The 26,942-nt window shown below is 42.6% G+C and overlaps 1 protein-coding gene and 1 pseudogene across 9 annotated transcripts in view, besides 2 other annotated features; both read left to right on the forward strand.

Moving 5' to 3' along the window:
* The window catches only part of MAP3K3 (mitogen-activated protein kinase kinase kinase 3), a 73,889-nt gene that overhangs the window by 11,496 nt on the left and 35,451 nt on the right, over positions 1-26,942 (forward strand). For 5 of the 9 annotated variants that reach the window (NM_203351.3, XM_005257378.3, NM_001363768.2 and 2 more), the window contains exons 3-6: positions 797-889; positions 12,122-12,162; positions 18,645-18,744; positions 23,882-23,995. In NM_203351.3, coding sequence (NP_976226.1) covers positions 797-889; positions 12,122-12,162; positions 18,645-18,744; positions 23,882-23,995 — 348 coding nt within the window. The remainder of the gene's footprint in view (positions 1-796; positions 890-12,121; positions 12,163-18,644; positions 18,745-23,881; positions 23,996-26,942) is intronic. The other 4 variants (NM_002401.5, XM_047436085.1, NM_001330431.2 and 1 more) reach the window with 1 other exon arrangement.
* Positions 2,689-3,198, forward strand: EEF1DP7 (eukaryotic translation elongation factor 1 delta pseudogene 7; annotated as a pseudogene).
* Positions 13,131-13,180: an enhancer, noted in NCBI's record as "active region_12550". NCBI's record gives its function as "activates an Ori minimal core promoter by ATAC-STARR-seq in GM12878 lymphoblastoid cells {active_cell/tissue: GM12878}" and the evidence as "EXISTENCE:reporter gene assay evidence [ECO:0000049][PMID:35858748]".
* Positions 21,453-21,502: an enhancer, noted in NCBI's record as "active region_12551". NCBI's record gives its function as "activates an Ori minimal core promoter by ATAC-STARR-seq in GM12878 lymphoblastoid cells {active_cell/tissue: GM12878}" and the evidence as "EXISTENCE:reporter gene assay evidence [ECO:0000049][PMID:35858748]".

Below are 26,942 nucleotides of genomic sequence, written 5' to 3' on the forward strand. Positions count from 1 at the left end.
TAGTATAAGGCCCTAAAACTTTTCCTGTCTGTGGTCTGCTAGATAGAGCCTTCCAGAGTATTTCCTGCCTTTAGGAATCCTAGGGACCCCAAGGGAAGAGGAGTCCTTTTGTTTCATGTTAAAACAGAAGGATTAGTTTAAAAAGCTGCTTTTGTTGTTGTTACCTTATAGTACTGGAGGTATAAACAGATAAGGGCCCATTCTTACACTATTTTCATATGTTATTCAGTCTGACTGTGTGAGTTCTCCCTTGCTATAACTCATTTGTATTCAAAGCCACTTTTCGAAGGAGCATTTTACCAGAAGTGAGTCCCCTCCCCCTTGCTTGAGCCTAATGACCTCACTTTCCTTCCTGTCTTCCTATGTAGTGTGTGCTTGCTAACATTGCTCCAGTTAGCTGATCTTTCTCCAGACTGGACTATTAGCATGAATATCAGTTAGTGGGTGAAAAGGGGAAGCTTTCTTGAATTGGAAGGCCCAAAAGGACGAGGCTGGGAAAAGGAGGGGCGGAATGGTCACTGATGGTTCCTTGAAGGAGGATTCCTTTTTAGGACTCCTTCTGCTTAGAGCCTAAAAGCCATGATGAGGGAAGTCTTGATCTTTTGCTGTGCCTGCTGCTGCGCTGGTAGAGTGAAGTCAGTGGTTATGAAGGCAGAAGCCTAAAAAGGATTGACTGTTAGGAAGTAATCTTAACAAGAGGTACTAGATCTTTGGATCCATGATTTACTTCAATGTTGTCAAACTTATGTTGCACGAAGGATACAAATTATTAACCTCAGTTTTTTTGTTTTTAAAGAAAAAACACAACAGCAGCAGCTCAGCCCTTCTGAACAGCCCCACAGTAACAACAAGCTCATGTGCAGGGGCCAGTGAGAAAAAGAAATTTTTGGTAAGGATCCAGATTACCTGTTAAAGCCAAAATGTACTTTTAAATCTGCTACTCATGCTGCAACAGCAGAATTCACTTCCCAGACAAGTTGTTTTAGTGGATTTGTAAAAAGCATTGGTTACCCGTGACCTGTGTTCAGTGCTTCTAGTCACCATTTCTCACAACAGTATTATTCATAAACAGCCTCTATCAGTGCTGTCCAATAAACCTTCTGTGATGACAGAAATGTTTTATATCTCTGCTGTCCAATGTGGTTTTGTAGCCACTAGCTACATGTGGCTGTTGAGCAACTAAGGAACTAAATTTTAAATTTTATATCATTTTAATTAATTTAGACAGCCACATGTGGCTAGTGGCTATTGTATTGGACAGCATGACTTTATGCACTATGTAAGGGACTGTTGATTTATTGGGCAAGAAATTATGTATATGCTTGGAGATGTGTAGATATTCATTGGTATGTTCATTCCTTACACACGTCATGAGTTTCTGTACATTGTGATAAGCTAATAATGGGAATCCTACCTAAGATTTCTGTTTTAGGAAGAATGTGAAGATGTGGAACTAGAACAGCTGTTTAGAAATTGAAGCTCAAAGTTTTATGTTAATATGGGCAAAAGGGGAAATAAAATGCTAAGATAGCTTTTCCTCTTAATGAAGTCAAGGTTATAGAATGGCCTGTCCTGGGAAGTGTAGCAGATGTTTTGCTTCTGACCAAGAGGGATATTCTTCAGCAAAATTCTGAAAGCAGAAAAAGACAAAGTCTCAGCAAATGCATTTCTAGGAAAGATAGGGTAAGAGGTAGTGCGGGGAAGATGTTGGGGAGAGGTATTTATAGCCTAGTATAATGAAAGGAGCCTGGTGATATTAATAATCATTTAACATCGGATTTTATAATTCACAGAGTTACACATTTATTATTATTATTGTAGTTTTTGTTAGCCTAGGCCTGAGATAGAATGAAACAGTTTTCTTCATTACCAGTTCTTCTGCCAGAAAGTCCATGCTTAGGAAGAGAGAGGAATGAAAGATCAAAACCTAATTTAAATGGTGAAGAGTTGCCAAATTTGGTTAAGAAATGTCTAATTGGATTACAGATTCAAATTACAGAGTCCCAGTTGAAAGAAGCTAAGCATTTTGGCTAGCTGGAAAGGTTGTTTATTCAAGGGTGGAATGGGGCTGGCAGAGGCAAACAGCCTTTCACTATGAGAATGGCAGTGCTGGCTACAAGGCAGAGTCGAGACTGGCACAGCTTCATGGAGCTCAAGCTTGGCCCAGCAAGGAAAGCCAGAGGAGCTGTGGGTTCATTAACAGGATTGTTTGGGTGCCGAGGCCTGGAAGAACTGAAAAATCTAATTTAATATCTCTGCTTAGCAAGACTTGAGACATCCTTTTCCCTAAGTAAACAAGCTTGGTAAGTAATTGAAAAAGAGAATGGATTTGAGAACAAATAGGCAGCTATGGAAGTACATGGGCAGTGAGCTATTAACAATTTTCTAGGAGGTAGATTCTGTATTCTCTGTATTCTAGGAGTACAGAGAATACTGTACACTAGGAGCATTTGCTGTATTCTCCCTTTTGTATATTGGGTCTCTGGAAGCCTACAGCGTGGTTAGAGCTGACTGAATATTCTTAGATGTGTGGCACATCCTACGTGTGGCTGGGTCCTATGGATAGTTTTGCAGGCCATGATGTGCAGTGTCCCTTTAGCAGTCATTAACTCACAGTGAGTTATCAATGGGTGTTAGTTCTCTGTGGGTCTGACAACTTAGTATAGTGAAAAGAGTGCTGGCCTGTGGCTGAACATGCTGGAGAAGAGCTTGCCTGGCCACAGGGACACAGCCACGCAGATCCAGCATGTGTCTCCCATGTGCCAAGTGGAGCCCCCAGCCAAGAAGGCAGCCACACTAGCAGAGGGTGACAAGGACAATGACATTGACCTGTTTGTCAGCGACAATGAGGAGGAAGACAAGGAGGCAGCCCGGCTGTGGGAGAAGTGGCTGAGGTGGTATGTGGAGAAGAAGGCCAAGAAGACTGCGTTGGTGGTCAAGTCCTCCATCCCGCTGGACATCAAGCCTTGGGACAATGAGACCAATATAGCCCAATTGGAGGCCTGTATGCGCTTCATCCAGCTGGACGGGCTGGTCTAGGGGGGCCTCCAAGCTGGTGCCCATGGGCTACGGTATCCGGAAGCTGCAGATTCAGTGTGTGGTGGGGGACGACAAGGTGGGGACAAACTTTCTGGAAGAGGAGATTACCAAGTTTGAGAGCGTGTGTAGAGTGTCGATGTTGCAGCTTTCAACAAGGTCTGAAGCCTTAGAGTGTGTGTGCGTGCATGCGCACGTGTGCAAGTGTGTGAGGCCCTGCCACTATTAAAAACTGAGACCAACCAAAAAAAAAAAAAAAAAAAGAGTACTGGCCTAGGAGTCATAGAGTTGTTACTCATCTATTAATGTAGGATTTTATAATTTATAGAGTGCTTTCAACAACAGTTAACATCAATGCTATAAGCATGTGTATAAGGTTTACACAGCTTTTACACAAAGGTATTGAGTAGAGGCAGGAAGTAAATCCAAGCCTTCTGATTCCTAGTCACCGTAATTTTACCATGTATAAGTCATATAACCTTTCTGAAGTGAGTTTTTCCATCTGAAATATAGACTTAATACTCACTGTGTCTACCTCTTAAGATTGTTGTAAGATCATAGACAGAATGTGAAATATTTTGTACATTGTAAAACAAATGTACAAATGTGAAGTTGCAGTGGTTATGTCACTTCTTATGTTCTGGCACTGCAGGTGTGAGCTTTGGGGAAAGCTTCTAACTACAACTGTCCATAGTGTTGTGGAACTGAAAGGATTAAGGTTTTTCTCTCTTTATGGGATTATCATTACTGTTTATCTGATGATCTTTGCAAATTTCTGAAGCTAGCCTAATTTCTGAAAATCCCAGTGGAGGAAGAAATGGAATCCTTATTTCCATGGATTCCTGTTTCCCTTGAATCTTATCAAAATGGTAGGTAGATACTTGAACAGAGTCTGGGCTCTGGATCTAACCCTCCAGATGTTCATGAGTGGGTGCTTCAGAACAGAAAAGCTGCTTTCTTCATGATAGGCACAAGCAGGGCAGGGCCTTGGCTATCATTTCTAGAGGAAGAGAATTCCAGGATCTGTTCCCCCAGCAGGGTCAGTGATTGAGCAGACTGTCTTTTGCTTTCAGTGTGAAAGACCTGGCTCTTCAGGACCTCCCTTCTCTTTCAAGGGTTGTTGATAAGATGGGCTGGCCAGTTTGAAAATAAGATATAAAACAACACACAAGCCTGGCATTATATTTTGTAAGAAGATTGCTTTATAATCGTCTCTTCCACTGATCTCCTACAACTTTCCAGAGTCATGCTTAAAAATAAAATTTTAATTTTTGTTGTATTTTTTTTTCCTTTCATTCACTTACTCTCTTTGGCAAAATAAGGACTGCAATTCCAGAAATGTGGGGAGGCATCAAAGGTATGTAGCAAATGCAGGGAGAGAAATCAGTACAGAATCAGAGCGAGGATAAGAAGAATGATGGGTAACTGAGGCCTTTTTCAGGTCAAGTTAGTTCATAAACCTTTGGTTAATAAATCCTGATTTTTCTGGATTCTTGAAAGCTTTTTGGGCTACATGTTCAGCTGTTGAGTCCAGACTTTGAGAAGGTCATTTCTGCTTTAGTGTTATTGTCAGTTATTCCTGTTGCTCCTGCTGAGTCCCTGAATCTGTAGCTCAACCCGACAGCCCGCACTGTCTCTCTCCTGAGCGTGGCTGTCACTACTGCTCTCACCGGATTGCCTGTGGTGGGGAGGGGACATGAAGCTGCTTAGACCTGAATTTCTGTACTAGAACTTTTTTCTCAGTAGCTGACACCTCCATTCAGTTTAACATGTGCCTATGGTCACGCTTCTCAGACACACAAAAGAAATGTATGTCGGTCAGGAGTGGTGGCTCATGCCTGTAACCCCAACACTTTGGGAGGCCGAGGCAGGCGGATCACCTGGCCTGGCCAACGTGGTGAAACCCTGTCTGTACAAAAATACAAAAATTAGCTGGGCATGATGATAGGTGCTTGTAATCCCAGCTACTTGGGAGGCTGAGGTGGGAGAATCGCTTGTACTTGGGAGGCGGAGGTTGTAGTGAGCCGAGATCACTGCACTCCAGCCTGGGCGACAGAGCAAGACTCCATCTCAGAAAAAAAAGAAAAAAGAAAGGTATGTCATATTCCCTGTACCCCAGGAATCATGCAGTCTTACTGGGAAGTGAGGACTACATGAAAAAAAGAAAGTATGATATGACTATGCCTCACTGTGTGGTACAGAGAGTAAGTGCTATAGAAGGCCAGGAAAATGAAAGATGAGCCTGGGCCAGAGGAGCTATGGAGTCATTTCAGGTGGAAGGGCACTTGAACTAGGCTGTGAAGGAAGTATAAACAGTTAGGTAGAACGGAGGAAGGGTGGCACTCCAGGTCAGGAAACAGAATGATTAAAGGCCTAGGGGAAGAAGCAAACATGGCTTGTATCAGGAAACAAGGTGAGCTTTGATCTGGCTTTAAAGGGGGGTCCCTGTGGGGAACAAACAGTGTGAGATGATCAGGTAAACTGAATGAGCCTAAATCCCAGAGGGCTTTGAGTGATAGCAGAGAATTTAGACTTTATTCCATAGATAATGGGTATCACTGATTACCTTATGAACAAAGAAGGAACATGGTGAAAAAGGTGATTGAGATGGTTGGAACTGTAGAGGAACGCAGAGTGGGTTGGAAATGGGGAGCTGAAATGTATCCTCACTCTGATTCTGTACTGATTTCTCTCCCTGCATTTGCTACATACCTTTGATGCCTCCCCACATTTCTGGAATTGCAGTCCTTATTTTGCCAAAGAGAGTAAGTGAATGAAAGGAAAAAAAAATACAACAAAAATTAAAATTTTATTTTTAAGCATGACTCTGGAAAGTTGTAGGAGATCAGTGGAAGAGATGATTATAAAGCAACCTTCTTACAAAATATAATGCCAGGCTTGTGTGTTGCTTTATATCTTATTTTCAGCTTTATACATTTATAAATGTATAAAGATATAATGCTTTATATCTTATTGACTCTGGGATCAAGGGGAAAGGGTCTCACTGAAGGTGATGTCAGGGAGAATGGGAAGCAGAGTCTTATACCGGAGGTCTTTGAGAGGAGAATTGAAATTTGCTCCCTGGCTGTGAGGAGGAAAAGGAAGGAAAGAATCAAGCATTACTCAGAGATGTAACTGTGTAGCTGGGAGCACAGCAGTACCAATGTTAGAAATAGTGACACTGAGCCAGGCATGGTGACATGCGCCTGTAGTCCAAGCTGCTTGGGAGGCTGAGGCAGGAGGATCACTTGAACCCAGGAGCTCAAATCTGTAGCGCACAGTGATTGTGCCTGTGAATAGCTACTGCACTCCAGCCTGGGCAACATAGCGAGACCCCATCTCTGAAAAGAAAGTAATAGTTGAGAAGGGAGACTAGTTTAGGAGAGTAGTTGATATAGACACATATGGCTAGATTGAGTTTGAGATTACAGTGGGAAAAAACCTCAAGAGTGTGTGAGGTATGTGTATGTGTGTACGTTGATTTTTGCAGGTCCATAATCTGTTATCTGCAGTTCTGAGATCCAAACAGTACTACAAACTAAAGGGGTATTTTTAGTTTTTAGTTTCTATTTATTATTTTTTAATTTGTAGCAGACTCATTTGGCAACCAGACCTGTCCTGAATAGACACAGGGCAATTTATGGTCTTTCTTTATTCTACTTATTGTGAATATTCATACTTTTCATTGCAAAAATTAGGATAGCTTCGATAAAAAGCATGTACTCTGTTAACAAATAGACTCCAAATCTCAGTGATTTAACACAGTATTCCCAGTACAAGGAGGGGGAGAACAGTGTTGCCCAGAGTTACTTAGGAACCTGGATTGAGGGAGACTCCTCTGTCCTAGGACATGTGCCTGCCAGGGAAGAGAGTATAGAACTTGATTCTGTTCCTAGCTCTTGGTCAGAACTAGGGACAAACCCCCCAAACTAACTTTTAAGAGGTCCAGGAAATACTTGAGCATTCTGCCTCTACCACAGTAGTACTGTCTCAGACACCCCCCACTCCACTGCCTGGGGAGGCATCACATGATTTATAGAACATCTACCATACTACCCCTCTAAATCCAAAACATGCATTCTGAAACACTTTTGGCCCCAAGAATTTTGGCTAAAGGATAATAGACCTGTATTACCATTTACCAACCACTTGTATATCAGGTACTGTTCTAATCACTTTACCCAATTATATGATTTAATTCTTTTGATAATTCCGTAAATTGGATACTATCATTCTCACTTTACAGATGAGGAAACTAAGTTATAGGTTAAGTATGAGGCTGCAGTGCCATTACTTTTTTTTTTTTTTTCCTGAGATGGAGTCTTGTTCTGTCACCCAGGCTGGAGTGCAGTGGCGTGATCTCGGCTTGCTGCAACCTCCACTTCCTGGGTTCAAGCAATTCTCCTGCCTCAGCCTCCCGAATAGCTGGGATTACAGGTGCCCGCCACCACACCCGGCTAATTTTTGTATGTTTAGTAGAGACGGGGTTTCACCATGTTGGCCAGGCTGGTCTCGAACTCCTGACCTCGTGATCTGCCCTCCTTGACCTCCCAAAGTGCTGGGATTACAAGGCCACCACGCCCAGCCTAGTGCAGTTAGGTTTAATGGCAAAAACTGCAATTACTTTTGCACCAACCTAAGTTCGAGGTTACACAGCTAGGAAGTTGTAGAGCCAAGATTTGAAGCAGGCAGTTGGACTCCAGTGCTACATTCTTAACAACTACATATTGGCCTCAGATACGTGGCAAGCAGATGAGCCTTGCTTCAGTGATTGGGGCTACATATAGAGATTGAGGAATCATCTATTTAGAGGCCCACTGAGAAGTTGTATGCAGAGCAGGAGAAAGCCAGAAGTCAGAAGTCGCAAGGTTGAGGAATGGTCATGTGTTTGGGGAGGGGTGGGAGAGGGCATGAACAAGAGGAACCAGCAAAGAAGCAGAAGTGGTCAGAGTGGTAGCAGGTTCCCTGTGCTGGGATAGAGTCACAGAAGTTGGAAATAGAGTTGGCCACCCACCAGTGTGAAATGCCTCAGAGAGGACAAGAAGAATGGCTGGCCGGAAGGCATTGAATCAAATTATCTTTATCTGAACTTCCCTTATCTATGGCTTATTATGGTCAACCTGATGGGTGAAATTCAGATTTAGGGACTCAGAAGATTTGGGCATATCATGTGGTTCATGGAAGCTTGTAAGGCTGTCATGGCATCAAAGAAGCATCTTTGTTTACACTGCTTTTTAGTCACAGGCTTGGTTAGTCTTAAGTAGCAGTGATTTGTGGTTTGGAACAAAAGTTTAATTCCCTTTCTGAATAAATTCATGTAGAGCAGTGCTTAGGTTATGGCTCGTTATGAAATAAATTTAGTTCCTTCATTTCCATAAAGGCACTGAGGAGATTCCTTCATTAGTATATCTAAATATAATGTTGTCCCAGGGCTGGGGCAGTGGCTCACACCTGTAGTCCAAGCACTTTGGGAGGCCAAGGCGGGTGGATCACTTGAGGTCAAGAGTTCAAGACCAACCTGGCCAGGGGTGAAACCTTGTCTCTACTAAAAATACAAAAATCATTCAGGCATGGTGGTGCATGCCTGTAATCCCAGCTACTTGGGAGGCTGAGGCAGGAGAATCACTTGAACCCAGGAGACAGAGGCTGCAGTGAGCCGAGATCGCGCCACTGCACTCCAGCCTGGGCAACAGAGTGAGACTCTGTCTCAAAAAATAAAAAAATAAATAAAATGTTGTCCCAGTTTAAGAATGAAAGCTGTTATGTGTGTGTGTGTTTTTAACCTCGTTTTTTTGTTTTGTTTTGTTTTGTTTCAATATATTTTTGAGACAGAATCCTTGTTCTATCACCCAGGCTGGAGTCCAGTGGCGTGATCATGGCTCACTGCAACCTCAAGCCCCCCGGGCTCAAGCAATCCTCTTGCCTCAGCTTTCCAAGTAGCTAAGACTACAGGCGTGTGCCACCACAACCAGCTAATTTTTGTATTTTTTGTAGAGATGGCGTTTTGCCATGTCGCCCAGACTGATCTCAAACTCCTGGGCTCAAGCAATCCTCAAACCTCGGCTTCCCAAAGTGTTGGGGTTAGAAGCGTGAGCTACCACACCTGGCCTAAAACTTCTAAAAATGAAAAAAAAAAAAAATTAAACAAAAACAAAAACCTGAGGAAATATGTGAGTAAACTATGGACTTTAGTTGATATATCAATATTGATTAATTAATTGTAACAAAAAGAAATATACCATACTAATGTAAGATATTAATAATAGGGGAAACTGGCTGGGTGTGGTGGCTCATGCCTGTAATCCCAGCACTTTGGGAGGCTGAGGTGGACAGATTGCTTGAGCCCAGGAGTTTGAGACTAGCTGGGCAACATGGCAAGACCCCATCTCTACAAAAAGTTACAAATTAGCCCAGTGTGGCGACATGTGCCTGTTTGTAGTCCCAGCTACATGGGAGGCTGAGGTAGGAGAATCAATCACCTGTGCCCGGGAAGTCAAGGCTGCAGTGAGCCGTGATCGTACCACTGCACTCCAGCTTGGGTGGCAGGAGTAAGACCCTGTCTCAATAATAACAATAATAATAATAGGGGAAACTGTACAAAGGGGAGAAGGATATATCAGAACTCTGCTCTGTATGCTCAGTTTTTCTGTAAATGTAAAACTCTTCTAAAAATAAAATTTATTAATTAAAATAATAGAGCTACAGCAAGGTATGCTGGGCTGTAGGCAGGAACAGGTAAAAGGATGTATAACCCTCCCACAGGGGCAGACAGGACTACAAACTTCATAGAGCACTTGGGATACTCCAGATCCAGTTGAGGAAATAGTGTGGGAAGCTGGAGACCACACATCAGAGCATGGCAACTCTGCTTTAGAGGACTCTTGTCATGGTAACTGTTTAGAATTTCAGGGGAACGAGAAAAAGAAGATAGTGAAAAACTGCTCTCAGTGCCTGTGTGACACTTAAGTTGTAGCATAGCATGGTAGTTAAGAGTCAGGCTTCCAGGGTTCAAATCCTACCTCTTCCTTTACAAGCGATATGACCTGACCTTGGGGGAACTTACTTAATCTTATTGTAACTCAGTTATTTTCTGTAAAATAGGGATAATAATGGTACTTGTTTTGAGGATCAGTTTAATTAATATATGTAAACATGCTTAGAACAATGCTTGGTTTGTGGTAAATGCTCAATAAACGTTAGCTATTATCATTATTATTAATGGATAAAGTGGTCCATGTGTTATCTTACAGGATAAGAAGGCTATATCAGGGCTGTATATTTTTTGAGACAGGGTCTCACTCTGTCACCCAGACTGGAGTGCAACAGCATTGTCTCAGCTCACTGCAACCTCTGCCTCCTAGGTTCAAGCGATTCTCCTGCCTCAGCCTCCCGAGTAGCTGGGATTACAGGTGTGCGCCATTACTCACGGCACACTTTTTGTATTTTAAGTAGAGATGAGGTTTCACCATGTTGGCCAGGCTGGTCTCAAACTCCTGACCTCCAGTGATCTGCCCGCCTCGGCCTCCCAAGGGGCTGGGATTACAGTTGTGAGCCACTGTGCCTCTGGCCTTTAATTGCCATTTTAAATGAATAAAGTAAATTTTCTCAGTTTTAATTTTGAATATGGTAAATACCAATAGATATAATCCACATAAGCAAAAGCTCTTTGGGGTCTTTAATAATTTTTACAGTGTAAATTAGAACCACTCTTGTAATTCATTGAACTGGAAGAGAAGTCTAGTCCCTTAATACCTTGGGAAAAGGGAGTCCTTTAGGCATCTACCCTTCCTTTCAAACTCACTCCCTTTTCTGTTGTCTGTTTGCTATGTGTTCCTCATCTTCAAATACTCTTAAGTCCTCTTTCTTCCAAGCCACAGCCTATTAATTTGTCTTCTTCAAAATAATTTTTCTTCATCGACTATGACTTCATTCTCTCCTTTATCTCTATTATTTGCTGGTTTCCTGCCCATCTTACCTTTCTTTTCCTCTACACCTGTTCTTCTGTAATATCTCTCTCCTTTCCCTGTCATTTTTTAAACTCCCTCAAGTTGTTTGTTTGCCCTTTTGCAATATCTCTTCCTCTTTAATTTGTTCTTTGTCATTTTAACATTTCTACTTCCTCTTATTTCTCATATTTATACTTCTGTTCTTCAATTCATTCAACCACTTAACAAATATTATTAAGCACAAATATTATATGCCATTTCCTTTGCCTGGCACTGGGGATATAGAAACATGATAGACCTCGGGAGGCCGAGGCAAGAGAATCGTTTGAACCCGGGAGACGGAGGTTGCGGTGAGCCGATATTGTGCTACTGCACTCCAACCTGGGTGACAGAGTGACACTCCGTCTCAAAAAAAAAAAGAAACATGATAGACCTGATCTCTGCTCTCCTGCAGTTTACAGGCTACTCATGATGGTCATTTTGGAAAAGGCTGGGAACAGTGTATAAGATCCTACTTTACCCCCAGTGGGGTAGCTTTGGGAGGGTTTTGGGAAATCAATGATAGTGGTACCAGTGGCAGCAGCAGCAAAAACCAAATATTGCATGTCTATTATGTGTCAGGTATTTTACTTACATTTAGTTGTTGTAAGAACTCTGCAAGGTATGTTTAGGCTTACTCTACAGATGGAAAAACTAAGACTCACAGAGGATAAGTAACTTGCCTGTGGTCATATAGCTAGAAAGCATCAGCAGCAAAATTTCTTTTTTGTCTTCAGTCACATCAGCCAACAAGGAAATGTATCCTGGTCAGGAGGTGATAGAGTGGGAGAAACTTCCAGAGCCAATTGTAGAAATAGGGTGTGTATGAAGCTAGAAACAGCATGTCACAGCATAGCAACTGAGCTGGGCAGCCACCTAGGGATCTTACCCTAAGAGCTTTGTTGTCCCTGATGTTAGAACTGGAAGTTTTAACTCATTGGAAAGGAATGCCCATGCCCATCTGGGAAGAGAAGCTGGACCAGGAGCCATCAGGGATGTATGCCTAATGTTGCTAACGAACTGCCCAAGGCTTACTTGGCAATGGCAGGAGTGACACATTCCAGAGAATTCTCTAACCTGTCTATCATTCTTTTTGGCAGAGTGACGTCAGAATCAAGTTCGAGCACAACGGGGAGAGGCGGTAAGTCTGCCTTCTGATGAGTAGCTGTGTTCATGTATGCCAAAGTTCTCAGATAGCATTGAGTTCATGGAAGTCATTCCCCTGTCCTGATCCCTGTGGGGCCACTGGCTGGGTAATAGGGTGGATTGGGCATAAAGGGAGGAAAGTTTCACCCTTGTCTTGGCCTACTAATTGAACCTTGTTCCTATCTTAGCATTGGAAGCCATTTCAACTGCTGATGTTTTACTGTTCTGCTCTATTCTGCTGCTGTGAGGTCTGACATTTTATTAGGAAGTGAGGACTCTGGCCCTACTCAGAGTCATGGCTTTCAGACACACTGACACTGTGTCACCTGTGGGCATTAGAGGGAGGGCAGGATTCTCCTGTGATATGGTGCCATTACTATTCCCAGTAGAGCAGCCCTGGCTTTGTCCACATCAAGGGTCAGGTTGGTGAATTAGAAGTTTCTTCATGATGTCTCTAGGTCATGGGAAGCTGCACCAAGTCCATCAGTTGTAAAAGACTTTAGCTCCTTTGAGGACATAGAAAGAGGGAGTTTTTCGGTCTGTGTTCTGAATCTTACCTCATTAGGGAAGTGAAAGTAGTGTTACAAAACTCTTCTGTCCTTTTCTCCATTGTCAGTATTTTCATTATTGTTATTTTTTGTGGGAAGCCAAGGTAGAAGTTCTCAGTAGAAAAAATGTGACTGTACTTAATTTCTGAAGTTATTTAAGGAAAACATTCAGAAAGCATACAGAACTCTGGACATGGGATATTTGGGACCTTGCATGTTTGTGCATGTGCGGCACATGTACACATAAATGTGCCTTTCGGTGTTTTTTCCACTCTTTGCCTTTCTTTCCCATTGATATACTACCCCCTGCCACCCTCAGCTTTCCTTTGCTTTGAGCATTTGGACAGGTGAAGAGCATACCCATTAGTATGAGGTCTTCCTACTTTAAGAGTCTCACCACAGGACCTTAGTACCTCTAAACATTCTTGATTCTGGTAGTTCTCTACAGTTGGTACCTTTCAGCCTACTTTGCAGCTGGCTCCAGAGGAGACCTGTGGCTACTATTCTCCCTTTAAAATACACATTCACAAGCCTACAAGGTTGTCAGAGGCAACCCGGTGGAAGCATTGTGGAAAGTGTGGTCTGCAGAGCCAGGGTCCTTCTGCTCCTATGTGAGTTCCAGGCCTGGAGGGAGGAAGGTCTGAGCTCTGTCCCCAGCTGCTCTTCCTGTGTCCTGCCATTAGCAGAGAAGTTAAATTGTCACTTCACTGTTGCTACTTTTCACATTTTCCAACCTGAGTTTTAAAGGGATGGCCAAACTCAGAGCAGCAGAGTTTTCAATCAAAAGCACAATTGTGTTGGAGCCCAATTACGCAGTTAGGCTCTCCTGAATTCCCTGTTCCCAAAGTGGTATGCAGTTACAGTGAGCAGGCTTACACTGAGAAAGTGTATGTGTTTGGTTTCAGAGAAGCTGCCAGATTGAAACCACAAATATTTAAGGTGGTCAGGCAGGAATGGCCTTCTGAAGCCCTGAGCAGCAGAACGTTGCTTATCAAGGTTTTGAAAATGGTGCATTCTCTTTTTACGGAGCTGTTTTCAGGAGCCATGGCATTTCAGTGTTTGTGTACTATATGTGGAATTGAGGACTTTATAAAGTTGGTGCAGGGAAGCCAACAGAGTTAGTACTCTGTGCCACACAGCTCTAGTTTCGTGTATTTCACGTCAGGATTTTGTAGAGAATGTCATTATGGGCATTTTAAACTTTTTACCTGGAATATGGGTAGTATTTATCTAAATGTAGGCCCTTATAGAATTAGAATTCACAGGAAAGAGGAAAGAAGTCATGACTTTTCCCACTTATCCATGACAGGTATTCATTCTGGTGGGCTGACTTTCCCTTTACTTTGAGAATATGGGGACCAGACCCCTGACTGTCCTCCCTTTTGGCCCCAGGAGGGCTGGGGAGAAGGATTGTAGATTAAGATCTCCTTCCCTTTGGAAATGTTAATGACACACTGATGGGGGTGGTTGCATGGGTGTTAGACCTCTCTTTGAAGCACTGGCCTAAAAATGCCTGTTATTCAATAGGATGGCAGCAGCTTAGATCTTACCCAATCTGGAAGTCCTGGCCTCTGATCTTGACCAGACTTTCAAGCTGCTTTTGTGGGTTTTGAATGGCTCATTGCTAGGCCAAATGCAGAAGAATTTATCTCTGATCATGATCCTTTTTCAATAGTGTGCTAGGGACATCTGAGTGGACTTCTGGTATTTTATCCAGAAAGGCTGGACCCTTTTGCACTGTTGCTGAGGCCTTGAAGAAGGAGGGGTATGATTTGCTATTAGGCATTAATAGAAAGCTATCCTCTCAAAAGGCTTCAGAAACACCTCTATCTAGAGAATCCATCTAGATAGCACCTAACAGTATCACTGCTTGGGACAGTTGATTTGGAAGAAAAAAATATAAGAATTACAGTCTGGGCCGGGTGTGGTGGCTCACGCCTGTAATCCCAGCACTTTGGGAGGCTGAGGCGGGCAGATAAAAAGGTCAGGAGTTCGAGACCAATATGGTGAAACCCCGTCTCTACTAAAAATACAAAAATTAGCCGGGCGTGGTGGCCGGCGTCTGTAGTCCCAGCTACTCGGGAGGCTAAGGCAGGAGAATCGCTTGAACCTGGGAGGTGGAAGTTGCAGTGAGCCGAGTTCGAGCCACTGCACTCCAGCCTGGGGGACAGAGCGAGACTCCATCACACACACACAGAAAAAAGAATTACAGTCTCAATGGGTTTCCTAGTGGAGATGAAACTAATTTGGTTAGCAGTATAATTTCCAAAAATGAAAGGTGGTGATGGACAAAGGAAAAAAACAGGAAGGAATTACCTTCTTGAGATGTTAGGCTTTGCGTGAAGGATAGATTATGGTTTATATTAATAGTCTATCAATGTTGCCCTGTAGAACTTTCTGCTATAATGGAAATGTTCTATATCTGTGCTGTCCAGTACACATATGGCTGCTGTACATGTGGCTAATGAGCACTTGAAATGTGGTTGGTGAGACAGAGGAACCTTTTTCTTTTAAGACAGGGTCTCTGGGCCAGGTACAGAGGCTCACGCCTGTAATCCCAGCACTTTGGGAGGCTGAGGCAGGAAGATTACCTGAGGTCAGGAGTTCCAGACCAGCCTGGCCAACATGGTGAAACCCTGTCTCTACTAAAAATATAAAAATTAGCTGGGTGTGGTGGTGCACACCTGTAGTCCCAGCTACTCGGGAGGCTGAGGCAGGAGAATGGCATGAACCTGGGAGGTGGAGCTTGCAGTGAGCCGAGATCGTGCCACTTCAGCCTAGGCGACAGAGCGAGACTCCATCTCAAAAAAAAAAAAAAAAAGTAGACAGGATCTCTGTTGCTCAGGCTGGAGTACAGTGGTGTGATCGTGGAGCCTCCACCTCCCAGGCTCAAGCAGTCCTCCTGCCTCAACCTCCCAGGTGCCTGGGACAACAGGCACACTGCCATAGCCAGGTAATTTTTGTAGAGACAGGGTTTGCCATTTTGCCCAGGCTGGTTTCAAACTCCTGGACTCAAGCTATCCACCTGCCTTGGCCTTCCAGAGTTCTGGGATTATAGGTGTGAGCCACTGTACCTGTTCAGGAACCAATTTTCAGTTTAATCAATTTAAATTTAAATAGTCATATGTGGCTAATGGCTGCCATATTGAATAGTGCAGATGCAGTTCTAGATGATGAAGGCTTTTATGCTTCTCACTGATTTGAGCCAACCTGTTACAGAAGAACATTAAAGAAATTATCTGGTCAGATTTTATTAAAACCCAATGGTTTAGATCCCTCTCTCTTGTGGCTTATTGCTTCTTCCTCTGGTTACACCACTTCCCACTCTGGGGGAGCAGGGAAGATGAGAAAGAACCACACACTTCTTCCTCTCAGCATGGAAGAGGACAAGAACTGCGCAGGCCCATGGCTGAATACTGCTTGCTCCAACACACACTAGTCTGATTTTATCCTGCTTAGGTGTACTAAGAGATGAAGGTTGTTTTAATAGGCATTTCTCCAGTCACATTGGGCATCTTTTCATGTGTTTTATTAGCCACTTACAATTCTTCTGTGAATTGTCTAATCTTTTGCCTTTTCTATTAGATTGTCTTTTATTGATTTTTTACAAGTATTTTCTCAAAGTTTGATATTTGTTTAACTTTGTTGATGGCTTATTTTGCAATCAGAAGTTTATTTATTTATTTTTTTGAGACAGAGTCTCTTGCTCTGTTGCCCAGGCTGGAGTGCAGTGGTGTGATCTCAGCTCACTGCAACCTCTGCCTCCTGGGTTCAAGTGATTCTCCTGCTTCAGCCTCCCAAGTAGCTGGGATTGCAGGGCATGTGCCACCACACCCAGGTAATTTTTAAATTTTTAGTAGAGATGGGGTTTTCCCATGTTGGCCAGGCTAGTCTTGAACTCCGGACCTCAGGTGATCCACCCACCGCAGCCTCCCAAAGCGCTGGGATTACAGGCATGAGCCATCTTGCCTGGCTTGTCTTCTGTATTTTATGTTATGGTTAGGAAGACCTTCTCTCTCTCTGTCTCTTATAGAGAGAGAGAGAGAGAGAGAGAGAGAGAGAGAGAGAGTTTTTTTTTTTTTTAGACAGGGTCTCATTCTGTTGCCTAGGCTGGAGTATAGTGGCATGATCACAGCTCACTACAGCCCTGATCTCCTGGGCTCAAGTGATCCTCCCACCTCAGCCTCCCAAGTAGCTTAGACTATAAGCATGTACTATCACACCTGGCTAATTTTTTAAAAAAATGTTTAGTAGGCAGGAGGGCTCACTATCTTGCCCAGGCTGATCTTGAGCTCCTAGCCTCAAGCGAGCCTCCTACCTTGGCCTCCCAAAGTGCTTGGCCCCCAAGATTTTTTTTTAATTCTGTATTTTCTTATATAAATTTGAGAGTATGTGTGTGTATGAGTTTCTTTCTTATATTCTTTTCTTCAGTTATCTCTGATTATTTTTAGTCATTTCTGTTCTAGAGTATTGGGTTGAACCCATATAAAATTGCCACTTTTATATATCAAAAATGGTCGGCCATCAGTAGTCTCATATAGTTCAACCTAATACATTCATTCAAACTTTTTATTGGCCAAGCATGGTGGCTTACACCTATAATACCAGCACTTTGGAAGGCCGACGTGGGAGGATTGCCAGAGTTCAGAGGTTTGAGATCAGCCTGGGCAACTTATTGAGGCCCATCCCTACAAAAAATAAAAAATTAGTCGGTGCATGCCAGTAGTCCCAGCTACTTGGGAAGCTGAGGCAGGAGGATTGCGTGAGCCCCAGAGGTTGAAGCTGCAGTGAGCCGTTATCATTGCCACTGCACTCCAGCCTAGGTGACAGAACGAGACTCTGTTTTGAAACAAACAAACAAAAAAACCCCACAACTTTTTATTATGGAAATTTCAAGCACACACAAAAGTAGACAGAGTATTAAACTGAACTCCCATGGACCTGTCACCCAGCTTCAACATTACTAACATTTTCCCAGTCTTGTTTTATCAATTCCCACTTTTAAATTTTGCTGAAGTATTTAATAACAAATCAGATTTTACACCTCTTTGGATGACTCCTTACTCTACCTTATATTTGTAGAAATTGTTCTTTGAACTGACCTAATGAGTCTCTCCAGAAAATCTTCAATGTCAATACTAGTTACATGCACAGATATGTCACTGGTTAAGAAAACTGATCAGGCATATCACTAACTCAAGGGGGAATTCCTGTGACTCTGTAGTAGAAAATCTTAATTCTGAGGAAAATCAGTATGGAGATTCTTATGGCATCTCAAAGATGAACGATGGAAAAGACCTTTCAAGTCCTAGAGTTGAGTCCCTTAGGAGTTGAGGCCATGTTTTCAGGACTGCTACTCCAGTCTGTACGTTTTCTACCTTATTTCCTAAATAATTTTTTTCTTTCAACTTTTATTTAAGTTCTGGGGTACATGTGTAGGATGTGCAGGTTTGTTACATAGTTAAACATGTGCCATGGTGGTTTGCTGCACAGATTAATCCATCACCTATATATTAAGCCCAGTATGCATTAGCTATTCTTCCTGATACTCTCTCTTCCCCAAGTCCCAACAGCCCCAGTGTGTATTGTTCCCCCTCCATGTGTCTGTGTGTTCTCATCGTTGGAACATAGTTTTTAAATCTAGTGGCCTCTTCTGTCATTGGCAGAAGAGTCTAAGCTGAAGTGGTAGATGAATGGTTGGGATTGAGCAATAGTTGTGGGTACTGTTGTCAAACCTGATAGATGCTCAGAGGGTGAAAGGTAACGGTAGAGAAGAGGAAAAAAGGAAACAATCGGGAAAAGGCAAATTGAGTGAAAGAAAACAGAATCCTATGTTGAGAAGAAAGGAAGAATATACTCAGACCATTGCTTTTTAAACCCTACGTTTTAAGTATACAATTAACCAACCTTTCTTTCTGTTTCTTTTCAGAATTATAGCGTTCAGCCGGCCTGTGAAATATGAAGATGTGGAGCACAAGGTGACAACAGTATTTGGACAACCTCTTGATCTACATTACATGAACAATGAGGTGAGAAGGCAGATGGATGGGGCAGGGACAAGAGGGGCAGATGCCTACCTTTTTTCTCTCTGTTTACCAGAGCCTTTAAAGTTTGTTCCTCTAATATCATCTGCAGGTTTTCATTTTCTAGACCCCCTTTTCTTAATTCCAACAACTGTGGGATCTCTGTTTTTTACTACATGGGAGATTACTCAGCCATCTCAGCCATCTCCATTCCCCCTACTCATTCAGTGCAGATAGCTCTAATATTCCATGGTGGAATCAGGTATGGTACCAGGGCTAGGGCTTATACTGTCTCCTTTACATTTTGTAGGAGTATCTTATTTTTTTCCCCCCAGCACAGCCTTAACAAGAAGCAGAGGGTTTAGCAGGGGCTAGGGAGGTGTGAAAAACCAGTGAGTAGGTCATCTATTACAGTCATAAATGCAGGATTCTTCTCTTAGAGTTTCTTCTGATTGGAGCTTATTTGTTTCAAATGTTAGCACCTGCTCCAATAAGTTCTTTAACTCCTCCTCCTCCTCACTCCACCCCAACGGTCCTTATTTACTTCTACTTTGAATATCACCCAGGAAGGAATTCTTTTGAATGTCAGTTTCTGGGCTGCTTTCCCAGCTCCAAGAAGAATATTACAGACTACAATCAGCTTAGGCTGGTGCTTTGCAGTGTATTTATGCTGAGTAAAGAATGTGTACCTCGAGGAAATTGAGTTAGGGGTGCAAGACAAGAAAGCTGGGCAACATCATGACCCTTTGAGAACCAGATCATCACTGTGTAGTTTTATTTTATTTGATGAGGAGTTAAAATTTTTCTTTTAGTAAAGACTTTTCTGAATCATTTAGTACTCTTTTCTTTTTCAGTTAATATTTCCATTAAGAATTCCTGATGTTTCTTTATTCTAAAGCCAAATATAAATCATTGTTATTATTTTAGTTCATACATGTCTTAACATACTCTACTAATGTTAATGATCAGGAGTTGACTAACTTACATTTGATTAATTTAAAATCCCTCAATTCCGTTCTTTTGTTTGCCCTTTAAACCCTGCACTGTCAAGATCTAAGAATCCCAAATGAAAAATCTACTGAGATTTTATTTATTTATCTCTTTGTAATTATAGTTTTATTGAGATTAAAAAATTTATCATCTAAAAGTATACCATTCAGTGGTTTTTAGTATGCTGATAGAGTTGTGCAACCAACACCGCTATCTAATTCCAGAACATTTTCTTTTTTTTTCTGAGACAGAGTCTTGCTCTGTCGCCCATGCTGGAGTGCAGTGGTGCAAACACGGCTCACTGCAGCCTTGACCTCCTGCGCTCAAGCGATTCCCCCACCTCAGCCACCCAAGTAGCTGGGACTACAGGCACACACCATCACACCCAGCTAATTTTTTTGTATTTTTTATGGAGGCAGGGTTTCACCATGTTGCCCAGGCTGGTCTCAAATTCCTGAGCTCAAGCGATCTGCCTGCCTCAGCCTCCCAAAGTGCTGGGATTACAGGCATGAGCCACCGCACTTGGCCTCCAGAACATTTTTATCACTCCAAAGAGAAACCTGTACCTATTAGCAGTTATTCCCCTTTCTCTCCTCTTCTCAGCTCTTGGTAAGCACTTATCTTTCTGTCTCTTTGGATTTACCTATTCTGAACATTTCGTGTAGTGCAATCATACAGTACGTGACCTTTTTTGTCTGGCTTCTTTGACTAAGCGTATGTTTTCAACGGTCATCTGTGCATGTTGTCAGTATGTCATTCTATTTTATGGCTGAATAATAAATATTCCATTTATGGATATACCACATTTTGTGTATCTGTTCATCTATTGATAGACATTTGGGTTGTTTTCATTTTTTGGTGATTAAATAGTGCTGCTATGAGCATTTGTTTACAAGTGTTTAAATGAACATATGTTTTCAATTCTGTAAGGTATATACCTAGGCGTGGAATTGCTGGGTCATAAGATAACTCTAACTTTTTGAGGAACTGCCCAGATTTTCTATAATGGTTGCACAATTTTACAGTCCCACTAGCAACTTATGAGTGTATTAGTCTATTCTCACTCTGCTGTAAAAAACTGCCCGAGACTGGGTAATTTATAAAAGAAATAGGTGGCTAGGTGCAGTGACTCACGCCTGTTAATCCCAGCACTTTGGGAGGCTGAGGCGGGCAGATCACGAGGTCAGGAGTTCGAGACCAGCCTGGCCAACATGGTGAAACGCCGTCTCTGCTGCTGATATAAAAATTAGCTGGGCATGGTGGTGCACACCTGTAGTCCCAGCTACTCAGGAGCCTGAGGCAGAAGAATTACTTGAACCCGAGAGGCGGAGGTTGCAATGAGCCGAGATTGCAGCTCATTTGAGACAGAGTTGAGACTCTGTCTCAAAAAACGATTAAAAAAAATTATTTTATTTTATTTTTAAATAAACAAATAAAGGAAAGAGGTTTAATTGACTCACAGTTCAGCATGGCTGGGGAGGCCTAGCAAACTTAACAATCATGATGGAAGGGAAAGCAAACACATCCTTCACATGGCGACAGGAGAGAGAAGGGCCAAGCAAATGAGAAAAAGCCTCCTATAAAACCATCAGATCTCGTGAGAACTCACTCACTATCAGGAGAACAGCAGCATGGGATAACCACCCCCGTGATTCAGTTACCTCCCACTGGGTCCCTGCCACAACACATGGGGATTATTGGAACTACAAATCAATATGGGATTTGGATGGGGACACAGCCAAACCATATCAGTGAGGGCTGCAGTTTCTCCACCATCCTTACCAACATTTGTTATTTTCTTCTTTTAATAGCCATCCTAGTAGGTGTAAAGTGATATGTCACTGTGAGTTTTGTTTTTGTTTTTGGTTTGAGACAGGGTTTCACTTTGTTGCGCAGGCCAGAGTGCAGTGTGCAATCATGGCTCACTGCAGCCTTGACATCCTGGGTTCAAGTGATCCCCCCACCTCAGTTTCCCCAGTAACTGGGACAATAAGCACATGCCACCACACTGAGCTAATTAAAAATAAATTTTTGTAGAGATGGGGGTCTCACTATTTTGCCCAGGCTGGTCTTAAACTCCTGGCCTCAAGTGAGCCTCCCGCCACAGCCTCCTAGGATTACAGGTGTGAGCCACTATCCCCAGCCTACTTGGTTTTTTTTATTTAACTCCCTTCCCAACCATTCTTATTTATTCCCACTTTGAATGTCACACAGGAAGAAATTCTTTTGCAATATAATATGATTTGCAGAACATTCTCCCATTCCATAAGTAGTTTTGAGATTTTATTTTAAATATGTACTGTTTTTGGCGAGGCGCGATGGTTCATGCCTGTAATGCCAGCACTTTGGGAGGCTGAGGCAGGCAGATCTCTTGAGCTCAGGAGTTCAAGACCAGCCTGGACAACATGGTGAAACCCCATCTCTACAAAAAGTACAAAAATTAGTCGGGTGTGGTGCCTCATGCCTGTAATCCCAGCTACTTGAGAGGCTGAGGCAGGAGGATCACTTTAGCCCAGGAGGCGGAGGTTGCTGTGAGCCGAGATTGTGCCACTGCACTCCAGCCTGGGCAACAGAGGGAGATGCTGTCTCAAAAAAAAAAATCTTGTATTATAAATTGGGAACTGTGTAAGTTAATTGGACTTTTGCTTGATTTTGTGTTTACCATACGTGTATAAAATCTGACCAGGCGTGGTGGCTCACTCCTGTAATCCCACCAGTTTGGTAGGCTGAGGTGGGCAGATTACTTGAGGTCAGGAGTTCAAGACCAACCTGACCAATATGGCAAAACCCAGTCTCTACTAAAAAAAAAAAAAAATTAGTGGGGAGTGGTGGTGTGCACCTGTAATCCCGGCTACTCTGGAGGCTAAGGCAGGAGAATCACTTGAACCCAGGAGGTGGACATTGCAGCAAGTTGTGATTGTGCCACTGCACTCCAGCCTGGGCGACAGAGTAAGACTCTGTCTCCAAAAAATAAGAAGAATAAGAATAAGATCTGACATTTGCTAGGTCCTAAGCAAGGCATACGTTTGCATCTTATGAATCTCTTAATACCAAGTATTCATAACATGCTCTGCTTTTTGCAGTGAGTGAGACTTATTTGTACCCTCAGGGACCTTCTATTTAATATTTCACTGGAACGTATGAGTGTATTAGTCTGTTCTCACGCTGCTGTAAAAAACTGCCCAAGACTGGGTAATTTATAAAGGAAAGAGGTTTAATTGACTCACAGTTCAGCATGGCTGGGGAGGCCTCAGGAAACTTACAATCATGACGGAAGGGAAAGCAAACACATCCTTCATATGGCGACAGGAGAGAGAAGTGCCAAGCAAAGGGGGAAAAGCTCCGTGAGAATGGAGGAGGTAGTTTTCAGGTTCTAGTCACTGACTTTGCCCTTAAACAGAAAGATAATTAAACCGTGCTATGCAGTCTAAATTTGTGTTTTTATTTGTATAACAATTTTCATCCTCTGACCATCCCTCCACCCCTTCTCTTCCTTTTCTGCTTGTTCTATTAATGTCAGCACAATTGGCAGTAGAGTGGGACATGATCCTACTTAATTTGGAAAAGAATATGGGGGCTGTAACTGTTTGCAACTTGATATTTTGAAGTAAATTAGTGTTTTTGGAGAGGCAGCTCTTCTCAGAAAGTATCTCACAACTGGGTACTGAGGTATGCTACAGCATGGATGAACTAAAAAACATTAAGTGAAAGAAGCTAGATGAAAAAGATTGAATCTTTATGAATTGAATTGAATATGTATGAATTGTATGAGTCTAAATGGAATGAAATGTCCAGAAAAGGCAAATCAATAGAGATAGAAAGTAGAGTAGTGGTTGCCTGGGGCTGGAGGTGGGAAGGAGGAGTGACTATAAATGGGCACAAGAGATCCTGTTGGAGTTCTGGAAATGTTTTAAAATTGGATTATGATGATGGTTGCACAACTATGTAAAGGTACTACAAATTTTTGGATTGTACATTTAGAGAAAAAAATCTGTATGGTTTCAACTAGATCTCTTAAGACCCCATAGTATCCAGTGAGATTGTTTTCCTCCAAATGTATTTTTATTTTTTGTTTATTTTATTTCTGCAAAGTGAAACATTGAGATAAACTTCTGTTTTATATTATTTTCCTTTTCTATGTCTTGTATCACAGCTCTCCATCCTGCTGAAAAACCAAGATGATCTTGATAAAGCAATTGACATTTTAGATAGAAGCTCAAGCATGAAAAGCCTTAGGATATTGCTGTTGTCCCAGGACAGAAACCATGTAAGTAGCCCTTGTCATGGTCTGGCAGCTGAAGACAAAGCTTGCTTTCCTTCAGGAACTTGTCTCGCCTCCTTGACAGACATTTTCGTTCCTCAGCCACTGCCAAATTGAGAGCATAAGCACAGCACAGCCCACTTGTCAGTGGCCAGTGAACATTCTGCATTTGATTTCACCGAAAAGCCAGATTGTCAGTGTTAACATTGCATCTAAAGGTTATTTGACTTTTGGTGAGGGAGGAAGGAAAATACTTTATGATAAAGAATAAAATTCTTGTGCTCTAAATTTATGTTTTTTCAATTAGATTTTGACCCCAACAAGAGAAATTTGATTCGTTTGGCAGTGCCGATTAGGAAAGACTGTCAAAGATTTGAGACTGTCATGCTTTATAAACCCAACTCCCACAACACCTTGCCTTTCCCTTGGAACACTTGTAGGAAACAAACTTTTCCTTTTGTTCAGTGGAAAAAGCCATGGGTTGGGGGCCTCTTATAACTTATCAGCTGTTGCTTTACCCAATGGCAGGCAGTCTGTAGGGTGTCAGAAGTGGGGAATTATCCCTTATGCACAGTTTCCTCTCCTGAAGGATTCCTGGAGGCCCGCATTTCACAAGAATGCTTGCAATCTGTATCTGTCTTCCAATTACTGATTCTTCTACCAGTTTTCTTCAGATGCATGTTTCTGAAGGTTTCTTGGCACCATTTCCTTTTCTTATGCTTGACAGGCTTTCCTTTTCTTTATGTGGACAGCCAACATGGCAGCATAAGTGTGGGTGTAGTGACTAGGACAAAGTTTAGGTGGAATGCTGCTCATGCTGACCATTTCTTTTCTTTTTTTTTTTTTTTTTGAGACAGAGTTTTGCTCTTGTTGCCCAGGCTGGAATGCAATGGTGTGATCTTAGCTCACTGCAGCCTCCGCCTCCTGGCTTCAAATGATTCTCCTGCTTCAGCCTCTCGAGTAGCTGGGATTATAGGTGCCCGCCACCATGCCTGGCTAATTTTTGTATTTTTTAGTAGAGACAAGGTTTCACCATGTTCGTCAGGCTGGTCTCAAATTCCTGACCTCAGGTGATCCACCCGCCTCGGACTCCCAAAGTGTTGGGATTACAGGCGTGAGCCACTGTGCCCGGCCATTTTTTAATTTTTTTAGTAGAGATGGGGTCTCACTGTGTTGCCCAGGCTGGTCTTGAATTCCTGAGCTCAAATGATCCACCCACTTTAGCCTTGCAAAGTGCTGGGATTACAAGTGTGAGCCACTACACCCAGCCTGTGGTGAACATTTTTCTATGTTGTAATTATAATTTGTAAGGATACATGTTTCTCTTGAGTCGATATACCATAATTTAATTAAATAACCATTTTTGCTACTGTTGGGACACAGAAACTGCTCCTGTTTTTTGCATTTATAAATATTTACATTTAAGAGTAACAATGGTAATGTTTGGTGATGAAATCTTTCCTCCAGAACTTCCTCACCTAGACTTTAGGCTTCTTAATAAATGGAAGAATTATGATCCAAAATTGCTCTGTGCTCAGGAATCCTCACCTCTAGAACAGTGTTCCTCTAACTATATGTGATGAAATATCAGTTTTGTTCTTTTGATTTCAAATCTGTCATGGACTTTTTTTTTTTTTTTTTTTTTTTTGGAGATGGAGTCTCACTCTGTCGCCCAGGCCGGAGTGCAGTGGCGTGATCTCGGCTCACTGCAACCTCCACCTCCCGGGTTCAAGCAATTCTTCTGCCTCAGCCTCCCGAGAAGCTGGGATTACAGGTGCACGACACCACGCCCCGCTAATTTTTGTATTTTTAGTAGAGAAGGGGTTTCACCATGTTGGCCAGACTGGTCTTGAACTCCTGACCTTGTGATCCGCCCGCCTTGGCCTCCCAAAGTACTGGGACAGGCATGAGCCACTGTGCCCGGCCGTACCAGTTCTTTTTTTAAATACAAAAACTGAGAAGTGAAATGGAAAAATAAACTAGAGGTATATAAATTATAAGGCTACAGTTTTCATTAGTAGATTCAATAAACATAAAATCACTCTGCCAAATTGCTCTAAAGTTTTTCAAAGGGCCCTCTCCATTTCTTTACTTACTTGGTGGAAGAGCAGGACGAGCAGTATACCAGTGTGTGGACTGGCACCAGCCCAGATATCATACCTTAAGTACACTGCTCCAGGATACTATATCACCTGGTCTTCATCACCTCCGCTGATACTGTCAGTCACTTTGTTTCTCCACTTTGAATTTCCTGCATTTGTAGCAGTTGCCTCACCGCCTTTTGTTACCACCTATTCCTTTATTTCCCTTTTTTTTTGAGATGGGATCTTACTCTGTCACCCAAGCTGGAGTGCAGTGGCGCAGTGACAGCTCACCACAGCCTCAACCTCCCAGACTCAAGTTATCTTCCTCCCATCTCAGCCTCACAAGTAACTGGGACTACAGGCGTGTGCCCCCATGCTTGGCTTTTCTTTTTTTTTTTTTAATTGTTTGTAGAGACAGGGTCTTGCCATGTTGCCCAAGCTGGTCTCAAACTCCTGGGCTCAAGCAATCCTTCTGTCTCAGCCTCGCAAAGTGCTGGGATTACAGGTTTGAGCCACCATACCTGGCTGTTTCTCTTCTTGTTCCTGTTTTGAATTGTGCTATCTCTTTCTTCTCTTTGGATTCTTCTTCTTCTTCTTCTTCTTCTTTTCTTTTTTTTTTTATTTGAGATGGAGTTTCACTCTTGTTGCCCAGGCTGGAGTGCAGGGGTGTGATCTTGGCTCACCGCAACCTCTGGCTTCCAGGTTCAAGTGATTCTCCTGCCTCAGCCTCCCCAGTAGCTGGGGTTACAGGCATGCACCACCACAACCGCCTAATTTTGTATTTTTTTTTAGTAGAGACGGAGTTTCTCCATGTTGGTCAGGCTGGTCTTGAACTCCCGACCTCAGGTGATCCGCCTGTCTCGGCCTCC

Source organism: Homo sapiens, chromosome 17 (genome assembly GCF_000001405.40).
Source record: "Homo sapiens chromosome 17, GRCh38.p14 Primary Assembly".
NCBI classification, from domain to species: domain Eukaryota; kingdom Metazoa; phylum Chordata; class Mammalia; order Primates; family Hominidae; genus Homo; species Homo sapiens.